Source organism: Homo sapiens, chromosome 11, assembly GCF_000001405.40.
Source record: "Homo sapiens chromosome 11, GRCh38.p14 Primary Assembly".
In the NCBI taxonomy this organism is placed as follows: Eukaryota; Metazoa; Chordata; class Mammalia; order Primates; family Hominidae; genus Homo; species Homo sapiens.
This window is the reverse complement of record NC_000011.10, coordinates 98,734,506-98,748,821: the sequence shown is the minus strand read 5'-3', so window position 1 is coordinate 98,748,821 and position 14,316 is coordinate 98,734,506. Positions and strand designations below refer to the sequence as shown.

Here is a 14,316-nt window from a genome sequence, read left to right as displayed (position 1 = left end):
ATAGTCAGGCCCCTCTGCTGCAGGTCTGCTGGAATTTGCTAAAGGACCACTCCAGATCCTGTTTGCCTGGGTATCACCAGCAGAGGCTGCAGATCAACAAAGATTGCTGCCTGTTCGTGCCTGGGGAAGCTTTCTCCCAGAGGGGCACCTGCCAGATGCCAGCGAGAGCTTTCCTTTATGAGGTACCTGTCGGCCCCTGCTGGGAGGTGTCTTCCAGTCTGCATACACCGGGGGTCAGGGACCCACTTCAGGAGGCAGTCTGTACCTCATCAGTGCTCAAACACTGTACTGGGAGAACCGCAGCTCTCTTCACAGCTGTCAGGCAGGGACATTTAAATTTGCTGAAGCTGTGCCCACAGCCGCCCCTTCCCCAAGGTGATCTGTCCCAGGGAGCTGCAGTGGTCTCTGCCCAGTTCGAACTTCCCAGCAGCTTTGTTTACACTGTGAGGGTAAAACCCCCTACTCAAGCCTCAGCAGTGGTGGATGCCCCTCCCACCACCAAGTTGGAGTGTTCCAGGTCGACTTCAAACTGCTGTGGAGCAGCGAGAATTTCAAGCCAGTGGATCTTAGCTTGCTGGGCTCCGTGGAGGAGCAACCAGACTAGCCAGGCACCAAAGGGAATCTCCTAGTCTGCTGGTTGCAAAGGCCATGGGAAAGGCACAGTATCTGGGCCAGAATGCACCATTCCTCCCGATACAGTCTCTCACAGCTTCCCTTGGCTAAGAAAGGGAAATCCCCTGACCCCTTGTGCTTCCTGGGTGAGGTGACGCCCCACCCCGCTACGGCTCGCCCTCCGTGGGTTGCACCCACTGTCCAACCAGTTCCAGTGAGATGAACCGGGTACCTCAGTTGAAAATGCAGGAATCACCTGCCTTCTGTGTCGATCTTTCTGGGAGCTGCAGACCATTTTGCCAGCTACCCTCTGGCCCTCAGTATTTTTGAAGAGCAAAAAGCAGTCCTGAGACCAAAGGTTTGAATGCCTTGTACTAGACATGAGATCCTTCAGAGATGGTCTTTTTCTTCCCTTTTTCAATTTCATATGTGTATCATAATTTTTGAAAATTGCAAAAGTTAATAAATACTGAGTAGAAAAATAAATACAGTTTTCCCTCAGTATTGGTGTGGGATTGGTTCCAGGACTTCCTACAGATGCCAAAATGAGAAGCTGCTCAAGTCAATGATATAAATTAGCATAGTATTTGCATATAACCTGCAAACAACCTCCTGTATCCAGTTCTTTAAATCATGTCCAGATTACTGTAATACCTAATACTATGCCTACACATCATTTCATTTGTGTGGATTCAATGCAGTACCTGGTGAGGAAAAATTCAAGTTTTGCTTTTTGGAACTTTGCAGAATTTTTTTTCCCAAATATTTTTTATCTGCATTTGGTTGAATCCATTGATGTGGAACACACACATATAGAGGAACAACTGTATTGTAACTTCAAAAAACGTGTTTCCAATGACATATTGTTTTTCTGCATAGGGCTAACTGATCCATTTCCTAAATTGGTATGGCTTCTTGGCAAGGTTTAGTTTCTGCTGATGCATTCAAAATATAGTAAATATGGGCAGAGTGTGGTGGCTCAGGCCTGTAATCCCAGCACTTTGGGAGGCCGAGGTGGGTGGATCACCTGAGGTCAGGAGTTCACGATCAGCCTAGCCAACAAGATGAAACCCCGTCTAGTAAAAATACAAAAATTAGCTGGGCGTGGTGGTATGTGCCTGTACTTCCAGCTATTAGGGAGGCTGAGGTAGGAGAATTGCTTGAACCCCGGAGGCAGAGGTTGCAGAGAGCCAAGATCATGCTGCTGCCCTCCAGGCTGGGTGACACAGCGAGTCACCATCTCAAAAAAAACGTATATATATATGGTAAATATGAATCTAATGGAGAAAAATATGTGATTATGTGTGTCCCATGTGTGCAGGCATAGGTAGATGTGCTAGCAGTAGGGGCCTGCAAAGAGGAAAAGTAAGTATGACAGTTAATAACAACCATGCATATTATCCTACATTAAAGGATTATCTAATACCTCAAGAGGAGATTATATCACTAACTCTGTAGCGTTCATAATACGTCATATAGAGGAAATGCTAAAAGTTTGGTTTATTTTACTTTAAGTTTGGGATATATGTGCAGAACGTGCAGGTTTGTTACATAGATATACATGTGCCATGGTGATTTGCTGCACATATCAACCCATAATCTAGGTTTTAAGCCCACATGCATTAGATATTTGTCCTAATGCTCTCCCTTCCCTTGTCCCCCACCCCCCAACAGGCCCTAGTGTGTAATGTTACCCTTCCTGTGCCCATGTGTTCTAATTGTTCATCTCCCACTTATGAATGAGAAGGGGTGACATTTGGTTTTCTGTTCCTGTGTTAGTTTGCTTAGAATGATGGCTTCCAGCTTCATCCATGTTCCCGCAAAGGACATGAACTCACCCTTTTTCATGGCTACATGGTATTCCATGGTACATATGTGCCACATTTTCTTAATTCAGTCTATGATTGATGGGCATTTGGGTTACTTCCATGTCTTTGTTATCATAAACAGTGCTGCAATAAATATACGTATGCTTGTGTCTTTATAGTAGAATAATTTATATTCCTTTGGGTATATACCCAGTAATGCGATTGCGGGGTCAAATGTTATTTCCGGTTCTAGATCCTTGAGGCATCGCCACACTGTCTTCCACAATGGTTGAACTAATTTACACTCCCACCAACAGTGTAAAAGCATTCCTATATCTCCACAGCCTCGCCAGTATCTGTTGTTTCCTGACTTTTTAATAATTGCCATTCTGACTGGCGTGAGATGGTATCTCTTTGTGGTTTTGATTTGCATTTCTCTAATTACCAGTGGTGATGAGCTTGTTTTCGTATGTTTATTGGCTGCATAAATGTCTTCTTTTGAGAAGTGTCTGATCATATTCTTTCCCACTTTTTGATGGGGTCATTTGTCTTTTTCTTGTAAATTTGTTTAAGTTCCTTGTACATCCTAGATATTAGACCTTTGTCAGATGGGTAGATTGCAAAAAGTTTCTCCCATTCTGTAGGTTGCCTGTTCACTCTGATGATAGTTTATTTTGCTGTGCAGAAGCTCTTTTAGTTTAATTAGATCCCATTTGTCAATTTTGGCTTTGTTGTAATTGCTTTTGGTATTTTAGTTATGAAGTCTTAGCCTGTGCCTATGTTGTGAATGGGATTTCCTAGGTTTTCTTCTAGGGTTTTTATGGTTTGGGGGTTTTACAAGAAATGCTAAAAGTTTTAAGACTGTGTCACTCTATCATTTCCATTTACTGGAAGATGCTGCATCACAGCTTCTGAAATATGACAGACACTAAATAAATACTTTTTATTTGTAGCTACCTGAATCAAACTCCCCAAATCTGCAAAAGCAAAATTTCGCTTTTCCTGCAAAATACTCCAGTTAAATTTAGTTTGTGCTTATAGAATTTTTTTGTCTCCCCTTCCTCCAGGTTATTTGTTATGTTTATTTTTCCACTATTACCTTATGAGGTCTTGTGAATTAAGAACTACAACTTTCTCACGTTTTTATGCTCCTGATGCTTTTTGCTTTTAGTGGTCATTTGTTTTACTTGCTTGATATAGAAGATGCCAGATTTGGAATATCAACATTTGAGAGGTCAGATAAGTAAAAATACATGAGGTTGACTCTCCAGGACATTTCATTTCTTCCCAATATTGTCTTTTGATTTTGTAACTGTGGTTACAAATGAACTCAAGTTAGACATTTCTGAGCAGTCAGAGTGCCAAAAAGACAGCAAAGGAGGTGGTTAACTGATTACATCTTCCATGGCTACTCCAGTAAGTGCTGTAACATCAAGGTCAATATTGAAGACTAAAATTCCAAGCATCAATTGTGACAAAAGAAAAATAAAAACTCTGTTTGGTGGGGATTTAGTCTAAACTTAAGTTGTGTCTATAGTGTGATACATAGCCTAGATCAACCTGGTGTACAAGTGGAATAACCCCCACCTCAAGAGTTGCTTAATAAAGAGAATCTAAAGCTCTTCCATGAGAAAACTCTCTCTAAAGAAAGAGCACTATATGTAGCAAAATATTTTGTTTTGCTGGATAAAAGCCGTTCTGGACATAGCATGTAATTTGTTCCTCAGTTTAGCCCCACTCTAGTTAGAATTTATGTTGGATTCCAGTGCAATAAAGAGGAGTTGGAGCAGGCCTATAAATAAAGGATGAAAGTTCTGTTTCACTAAAACCTATTGGAGGTTTTGAGGTATTGATTGTGACAGACAAAAATATTTTATTTACAGTCTAATACAGCGTAATAAAAAGTAGGGAGATGCATTCTCTCTCACTTTGTAAAAAAAAAAAAAAAAAAAAAAAGGAGAGAGAGAGAGATGCCTTATGGATTTAGTAAAACACAGCAATAGTGTTCCACAAATTACCCTACCTGTACCTACTAATTTCAGTGAGGGCCCATAAGAAACTAACTAAGTAATTAAAAGAGGGGGGCTGTGTGCAGTGGCTCACGCCTGTAATCCCAGCACTTTGGGAGGCTGAGGTGGATAGATCACGAGGTCAAGAGACGGAGACCATCCTGGCCAACATGGTCAAACCCTGTCTCTACTAAAAATACAAAAATTAGCTGGGCATGGTGGCACGCACCTGTAATCCCAGCTACTCAGGAGGCTGAGGCAGGAGAATTGGTTGAACCTGGGAGGCAGGAGTTGCAGTGAGACGAGATAGCACCACTGCACTCCAGCCTGGGGACGGAGCAAGACTCCGTCTCAAAAAAAAAAAAAAAAGGTGGGGGGGCATAGATGGCAGGTTCCACACAAAATGTGACAATATTTGCTCATCAGAATGTATTAAGCACAGCTGGTGATTGCTGGAATTATTCAGGAGGGACTTTTCAGTAGGTAAGTTCCTGCAAGTGGGAACAGAAATAGATTATACATAAAAAGTTGTGTATCTGTTTCCATTCTATATCAGTTCATCTTTTCTTCTCTATCATAATCTCACTGATTTAATAAGATAAAATTAGGCATCTATAATTATCTTTAAGTTTCTACATCTATGGTCCCCTCCAGTGAGTAATTCATGAATAGCTAGCACTGGGCTGAAATGCACTGGTTAAGAGATGGTACACCTTCCTGTTAGTAAAACCCCCTTGTTAATAAAACATTTCAATTTTTCCAAAATAAAAAATTATTAAATAAATTGCTACTTTGAGTCCAAAATATGATTATCAAATGGGGCTGAAAAAAACCCATAGGTGTGTTGACAAATCTTTCTTCGGTGCTAACTGCTTTATTGCCCTAGTCACTCACCATTCTGTGGTCTTGACAATTATTTCTTGCAATTGTTTTCTTCCAACTATTCACACTTTCTTGCATTGTTTTTATATCAATTGGTGACTTTGTTTCCAATTTCACAATTAAAATAAAAATAATTAGACAAGAAATTCCAGGATTCCACTATACTTTTAATCTATTTTTTTGTATAGCTCATATGCCTTGGTTTTCTTTCAATTTCAATGTATAAAATATTCCTTGGCTCACACCTGTAATCCCAGCACTTTGGGAGGCAGGCAGATCACCTGAGGTTGGGAGTTCAAGACCAGCTTGGCCAACATGGGGAAACCCCCTCTCTACTAAAAATACAAAAATTAGCCTGGCGTGCTGCTGCGCACCTGTAATCCCAGCTACTCGGGAAGCTGAGGCGGAAGAATCGCTTGAACTTGGGAGGGGGAGGTTGCAGCGAGCCGAAAACACACCACTGCACTCCAGCCTGGGTAACAGAGTGAGACTCCATCTCTGGAAAAAAAAAAAAAAAATCCTGTTCCTATGAGGACCTCCTATCCACTCTACTAAAATAAATCACCTCAGTATTTAGTCCCTTTCTCTCTCATGTCAACGTAAAGCATAGCATGTCATCAGTCTTCCCTTTTTATTCAATGATTTCCATCAGATTACAATATGTAGTGATGTCTATCATCTTTGTAAAACAAATACATTTGTGAAGCAGGTTCACTATGTACTGGTTACCAACTTATCTGAGTCCAGTGAGACAGAACTCATGCAACAAGTTACCTGACATAATTTTTTTTTACTTACAGATGGAGAACAGAGACAACAGAATCCTAGGATTCATTATGAGCCAGATTGTCAAGGCTCAGAAAAGCTGACTGGGGCTTTGGAGTATTGACTGTGCATAACCAACCTTCTGAGGGACCCTAAAGGCAGTCTGTCCCCGGTTATATACTACAAGGTCACATGAGTTACTGGGCCAAAGAGTTGAGGGACATACTATTCTTGGGATGCGGATGAAGGGGTTGAGGGGGTACCTAGAACAGAGCCTTACCTGCTCTAGCCAGCTCTTCCTTATCTCAAGATGTTGCATTTTCAGGACATTATGTAGTTATTTTTGAGAGCCATGAGCAAGAAAGGGAGGCAAACTGGGTTAGTCCAAAGCCACCCTGAGAATTGTGCTGAACCATTGACTCCTCATTCTCATTCAAGAAATGTTTGTTTCTCTGACCCTTTCTTAGCAAATTTTATTGAGTTATTTAAACTCAGTGCCTGAATTTTCTTTTATTTCTTTCTTTTTAAAATAAAATTGTGTATGCATATAAAAAATCTAACCAAATGTGGGTTGTAAAACAAAACAAACACCTATGGGTGTTGTACTCAATTTATCTAATAGATTTTTATTAATAACATTGAATCTAACTGTACGCCTTACATTGCTATGTGTTGCATTTTTTTCATGCATTTCTACCTGTTGTGAAGTGTTACTTGTATGAATGGATAATTATATATTCGCTCTTCTATTGATTGTCTTCAGGTTTTGTTTTCCTTTTATTTCTATTGCTATTACAAATAATCTGTGATGAACAATTTTGTGTGTATCTTCTGACCAACATGAGCATTTTTTCCCTTAGGATATTTAGAAGTGTAATTGCCAGGATAATTAACCAATTTAGCATTTGCTTTTCATTTTTATTTCTTTGTTTCATTTATAACTGCTTTATGTTTATGGTATGGCATAGAGATAAAACATCTTTTTTTTCGAATATGGATAACAAATTCTCTTAGAAACATTTATCAAATAATTTCTTTGCTTTTAGTTATCTGGAATTACTCCTTTGTTATATGCATGTGTATGCATGCGTGGGTGTCTATGTGTTTATGAATGGTTTTGCTTATCTTTGTTACTAATTAATTCTGCTGTTTATAGCTATAATTTGTTAATTTTCCTTAGTGTTTAATATGTTAGTTTGACAAAAACATATGTTTGGAAAGCACTGGAGAGAGATGGGATGTTTTTAGGTAATGGAATTTGCTGTATAATGAGAAAGTAGATCACATGGTACTTCTATTAAATGAAATAACATTTAAAAATTGTAAGACCCATACATACATAATGGAGATACAAGAGACAACAGAATAATAATAACAGAGAAGAAAAAAACAACAGAAACCTAGTATTCATTCCATTTTCATAAAGCAAAATGGAATTTGCTCTATAATTAGCAAGGTCACATGGTACTTATGGCAAATGAGATAGCAATTTTTTTTTATTATGAGGCCCCCACATAGGTATAAGCTTCCATTCATTTCTTAGCAGTGTAAAAGTAAATTGAAACTTTTAAATTAATATATCAAAATTTCAAAAACTAAATTCAGCTTATAAACCATATGACCGGCTGCCAAATATTTTTTTTTTTTCAAAAGAGCACTTCAAAATCCTTAGGTTTGCAGTAAGCCCTTTCACCTCAACTTCAATCTTGGCATTTATGGCATTTATATATATTAATAAACATTTTCAAGACCAGGAAATAAAGGAACTAACTGATCTTCTCTTCTATTTCAATTCTTATGCTGGAAAAAAAAATGTGACCAGTGTAACATTAAATAGAGAATAATGTGAAATTAAACGGATATTATCAAAATGGAAGAGGAACTCATAGGAAAGAACGTTATGCAATATTACAAATTTCCAAAAAAAGAAACTAAACAGAATTATTTCAAAAATACATCTCCAAGTGAAGACAAGGCTAAAAAGCTAAATGTTGTATGCCTCTTTAGAAGTATTTAATTTACATATATTTTAAATGTTTACAAAACAAAGGTTTCTAACAGCATTATATCTAAAAACAAAGGCTCAACTCATACTCACACAAATCACACAAATCAAAGAGCTTACAAAACAGTAAGATTTACTAAGTATTAAAGGATACACATAACCCTAAGGCAAATGCAGCTGGGAGATGTCAGGAACTGCCAGCTTATCTATCCTTCTTGCTACTTTGGATGTACTCTTGCCAACACTGGATGTGAAGTTCCCAGATTATTGCATGCAGCTACATTACTCACAAAAAGAGATCTGTTTTGATCAGTAAACCCTTCCATTTTATGTTCAGAGAGTTACACAGCATATGTGATATGTTGCAGAAAGCCATATTCAAGAAATCCATGGATTCCAGATTTGTTTACTATGAAAATAACTAGATAGATCAGGTACATCTTTCTAAAAGTATTCCATAGATAAGGAATCTTCTGCAATAAAAACTATTAGTTTGTTTTCTAGGAGGTCTGACATTAGCATGCTTACAAGCTTATTTGACTACCTCATTTTCTTTCTTTATCAGAGTATTTCCCTCTAGCAGTTGTATGCAACTGCTGTTTAACCATTTACTGCATAATATTCCTAAAATTTGAATTGTATTGGACAGAATTTCTAAGGTAAATAATATTTAGACATAATTGGAGATTTGTTTTGTGGATCATTTTTGAAAGAATAAAATGTAATAGCTTTCTAAAACAATATGATTTTGAAATACTGATATTTTAAGTAGAATATTTTAATAGTAAACCCACATCACCTATAGCATTTCTAAAGGATACTTTACTATCATATTATTTAAAGTAATGTAAACTATGGATAGACAGAGATGATTTTAAACACAAATATCTTCATGATAGAAATGTGGCATGAATTATTTTGAACCTACATAAATGTGTACTATAGACTTCATGTCTGAGATTCAGGAATTAATACATTCAAACTGAAACTTACTGGGATACTTTACAATTATAAACTTGTACTTAAAGGTAAAAAATCAACTTGAAGGTAGAGAAATATAATAAATGATTTCTCATCCTGCTGTACAAATTATAACCCAGATATTTTTGATCTAGAAAATTTACCAGAGATTTGGAACCCGTTCTAAGCCTATTTCTCTCCAACTTAAAGGACCAGTAGCTGTTAAATGTAATTTATTGAATACTTGAGGAATAGAAGGCCCAAAGGCATTGGCATCATCCCACTGTGGCCTTGTAAGTGATATTCTTTCTCAAGAAGACCCTCATAAAACTGAAATTAAACCTGTAGGATCATTCAAAAACATAGCATTTTACAAAGAATTTAGTTCAACAATATCTGGGATTTTGAATTTAATGCATTTTTTACATTTAATGTTTTTAAGAAATAATATATCTTTTAGCTGCTAGATTGTAGACTGCATATGTGTGACCATCCTCCCCCCAATATACACATGCACACACACCTCTACACAAACACTTATTTGATAGATTACAGGGACCATTTTAAATATTAATAAATTCATGATTATACTACATATTCACATTAGAAACAGAAAACTGTAGACCAGAAATAGTGATGAAATGCTGAAGGAAGGAAACAATTGGCAATCTACAGTTATAGATAAGGCCTAACCCCATTGTCTATGGTTTTGTGCTGTTTCATCTTGTTTTGTTTTGTTTTGTTTTGAGATAGGGTCTCACTTTGTCTCCCACACTGGAACACCATGGCGTGATCATAGCTACTGTAGCCTCTACTTCCCCGACTGAGTTCACCTCTGTCTCCTGAGTAGCTGGGCGCAGGCAGAACCATCTTGGCTATTTTGACCCTTATATATTTTTTGTAGAGAGAGTCTCACTACATTGCCCAGGCTGGTCTTGAACTCCTGGCCTCAAGCAATTCTCTTGCCTCAGTCTCCCAAAGTGGTGGGATTACTGGTGTGAGCCATGGTGTCCAGACTTGTCTAAGCTTTTAGAACTCAAATTGGACCACAGAAACGAGGATGTGAGCCAAAGTCATGCTTTTACCATGGCACAAAAATTAGTGTTTCTGGAGTTGTGCATAACCCAGGATCAGAATCATGCATCAGACAGTGACCCAGAACCCAAAAATGGGCCACATCCCAAAATCAGAAATGAAACACATATTTGTGTGAGGTGAGGCTACGGAATTCTTAGGCCAGACATAAATTTCTTGTTATTATTAAATATATTACCCATTTATCAATTTATTTCTTATAAATCATTTAAATTGTAATTATTTCCTTCTTTAAAATGACTTGAAATATGAAACAGATTATTTGCTATGTACTTCCTAATTAATATTTGCTCCCTACTGAGAACAATTCATGCCTGGATCCAAGGTGAGTTAATTTTTTCTTGAATAAAATATTAGAAGCTGAAATATATTTTATTTCTACTTTTAAGGTAACTTATACACATCTCTGAGATATCCTTCTTTTATACAATGAAACGGTTACTGCATTTTTAAGACAAAAAGTCTATATCTTGCTTGTATTTGGTAAAGAATGATTTATAATAAGTATTTATTAAATTCACAATTGATATAATTAACAGTTCAGAATTTTACAGTTAATCTATATGAGAGTATTTGCAAGTAATTATACTTGATTCTACATTTTCAATATCGTCAACATTTCAGTGAAAGAGATGAACTTGCATGCATTACTACGTTGTAAGCCAGCAAACCAGTAAGCTTTTCAACCAGTTAGGTTTGTAAAGTTTACCCTTACTTGGTAATACTTAAGTCATCATAAAAAAGTTAATGGGTGCAGCACACAAACATGGCACATGTATACATATGTAACTAACCTGCAAGTTGTGCACATGTACCCTAAAACTTAAAGTATAATAAAAAAAGAAAAGAAAAAGAAAAAAAGAAAGAAGAGTAACTAACAAAGGTGAAAATGCAAATTAACAAAAGCCGAAGAAATTTACCTTGATCACGAATATGTCTCTCACTGGAGGCCAGTCATGATGACCCTATTTCATTCCTGCAGGTCCTCCCCTCAAGTACTTTTTTAGAAAACGGCAACATTAAAGGAAAGCTGCCATTTCAAAATAAGTAACATTATAAGGAAACTAGCATGGGAATTTTCTTATTTACAACCAACGTCTCTCAATACTTAACTATAAATTCTACAAAGGATCAGAACATATTTCTTTAAAAATGAGTTTTATTATATCAAAGAAAATAATGGGGTATCCCAAACTGCAAGACAAAAAAGAAAGACTAGATTTCAAAGAGATTATAATAACACAGAAGGAGATGTGATGTAAACTGGTAGAGCTCAGGAAATAAATGAAAGTGAAAAGTAAGATATTACAGAAAGTAGAGCCTCATTTAAAATGTCGATTCTCCCCTGATTACTCCAGTGAGTAATCTGCTGCCAGGAATGTACCGTGCCAAGGCCCCCAATCACAGCAGCAACCTTTTTGAAAAGGAAGAGTGACAATCTTGTATTTTGAACAGGTTTTTATTCAAAGGCTATAATTACACATTGGCAACTCTCATTTTCCTTTCTTATAGCTGCTTCTCCTCCCAGGAACTTCAAATGTATCTCCCCACCTGGAGTGCTTTCTGCTGCTCTCCATGCTCGTTTTCAATTCAGGGCGGAGGGATCATGAAATGCTGAGATTTCCAGCACCGAGGTCTAGCGATGACACGCTGTGAAACTGTCTCCACATCAACCCGAAGCCAGCAGGCTCCCAGCCGTCCTTAGGCTTGTCAGAAGCAGGAACCCTAATGAAAACACCTTGGCAGATGCACCATAAAAAGAAACTAGGAAATAATACATTTGAGAGGAGAAATCTGAGGAAATGCCAAGATGCCATCTTTTTTTTTTTCTTTTTTTTTTTACTAGAAGGCCTCCTCCTTAAACTATTTGTGCATTTGATAGTAGCACAACTTTATCATGCATCTCAGGCTTACAGAAGCACGTAGAACCAAGAAAGACGTTTTCCAAAATTGTTTCAGTGTAAAATAACTCTTACATTAGTGTCTTTCCATTTTACATCAGGTCGGACTGAGGATGTAAAATATGTGTCAAGTAATGCGGAGCTCCTTGATACCTGCCAGAAGTCGCAGTACCTTAAGAATCATTACATTCCATTTTATGTCAACCTTTTAGGGAAATGAATGTGTTTTTGACAATGGCACTGCTATTCAAATGCTACCAAGCAATAAAAATGTTGGAGAGACCGTAGCATTCGTTGATTTGTGAGAAGTGGTTTTAGTTCTAGGTCACCTATAAGTGGCCATGTAAGCTTACTACAGTAATTTAGAAAAACTTGTTTCTGAGTTTTCTCATTTGTAAAATGAGCTACCAACATCGGCCACGCGGATTTAACGGGGATTTCAAAGATTTCCTTGCACTTTAATAACAGTCTGCTTTACAATTAAAGATCTCTTCCTTCCAGTAATGCACCCACCCACTCTAGCTTATCGCCCAGGTAAACTCTTCTTTTTTATTATTTTCTCTTTATTCTCATCATTTTCCAACTTCCCAATTTCCAAGAAATAATACTTGTTTTATTCTCTTTTATAGTTCAGTGGTTTTTACTAAACATGCCAATTCCTTACTTTGAGAGGTTGTTTTACTGGCTTGGTAGAGATCATGACCTGCAATTCTTTAAAAAGTCACTGATGATTCTGATGAAAAAAAAAAATCTTTGTGTAGTACAATTTAAGAAACCCTCTGATGACAGCTTCTCTTATGTATTTCTATTACGGTATTTCCACATGTTATAATACAACTGGCCAGGCGCAGTGGCTCAGGCCTGTAATCCCAGTACTTTGGGAGGCTGAGGTGGGCGGATCACCTGAGGTCGGAAGTTCGAGACCAGCCTGACATTGTGACAATGAATGTTATTACAGTCACAATTATATAATAATGCAATATAGATATCAAGCCAATAGATTTTTAAAAATTGGACTTATAGAAAATATGCATTAATGCTAATGTCTGACAAAAGAAATAAAGATGAGATCAATGAAATACAAATAGCAAGCAGCTAGAATTAATCCTAATCACATCAGTGTTCTTATTACGTACAAATGGTCTAAACACCCTGATTAAAAGGTTGAGATTGTCAGTTCACATTGAGAAAGAGAGATCTAAGTATGTTCTGCCTGCAGGGAATAACTTGATATATAACAACACAATGTAAAAACATGAAATTAACTTCAGAAACGTTAAAGATCTCAGTGAACTCACTCTCTCATGCAAAAACAACAAAATACTGGCAAAACAATTAAAATAAACTCCTTCAGGACTCTATTAATTAATGCCACAGAAAGAGTTGAAAATCTTCTACCAAGAGAAACTATGGAACCTCAATAAGAAAGCAGAGTGTATGATGTTTGCCCAGGCCAGTGGTGTGGTAGCTAGCTATGAACGAGTGACAGCCTCGTACCTAACAGAGAAGAATAACCTATTGCGGAGCTCTGTTAAAAGCTCCATGGCCAGAAATAGTCAATATTTAGTCCAGATTTTCAGGTCTCAGGAAAATTTCTACATGCAAGATTTTGTGGTTATTTATTTTGACTCAGCGCTCAGTTCAGGCAAACATAAAACAATAAGCAACAAATGAACAAACAAAAAACCTACCTTCAGGGTACTACCATAAACTATTGTAATATGTTGACAATATCACAGCTGCTTTAGGCTGTAATTTAATTTGGGACAAAGAAGAGTCTGGCAAAAGTTTAAAATGACATCCTGGTAAACTAGGCAATCATAGGCAGCTTTGAAAAGTTTTGACAGTCTTGGGGATAGAAAAGCCTGTACATGCTCAAGGCTAGTTTCATGCCCAAGACATAAATGGTGAAGTCATCAGTCACTCACTTCTGACTGACACAGAGGCCTTGTGCAAGCAGGAAATGAAAGCTAAAACTGTATCATAGCTTACCTGAAGCTTGAAGGTATGCCTTTTCACACATATACCCCAAGTAAGGGGTGCAAGTTACACAGTTGAGGGATCTAAGAAAATCATCTAACCTGCCACTAGAGGATCACTAAATTATACTGATCTTTATGCAGAGGAAGTCAGGCTTAAAGAATAAGAAGTTGAAAACAAAACGAAACAAAACAAAATCAAAAGGCTAGTAGACAATGTAGTGGCCTCACACTGTAAGGAATGTATAACCTACAAAATTTGTCCAGCAAAGTTGCAAAATTAACAAAAAGCAATAGTAT

The 14,316-nt window shown here is 37.3% G+C and overlaps 1 annotated feature.

The window, feature by feature from the left end:
• Positions 14,116–14,316: a silencer, noted in NCBI's record as "peak1433 fragment used in MPRA reporter construct". NCBI's record gives its function as "represses an SCP1 promoter by STARR-seq MPRAs in K562 erythroleukemia cells {active_cell/tissue: K562}" and the evidence as "EXISTENCE:reporter gene assay evidence [ECO:0000049][PMID:32103011]".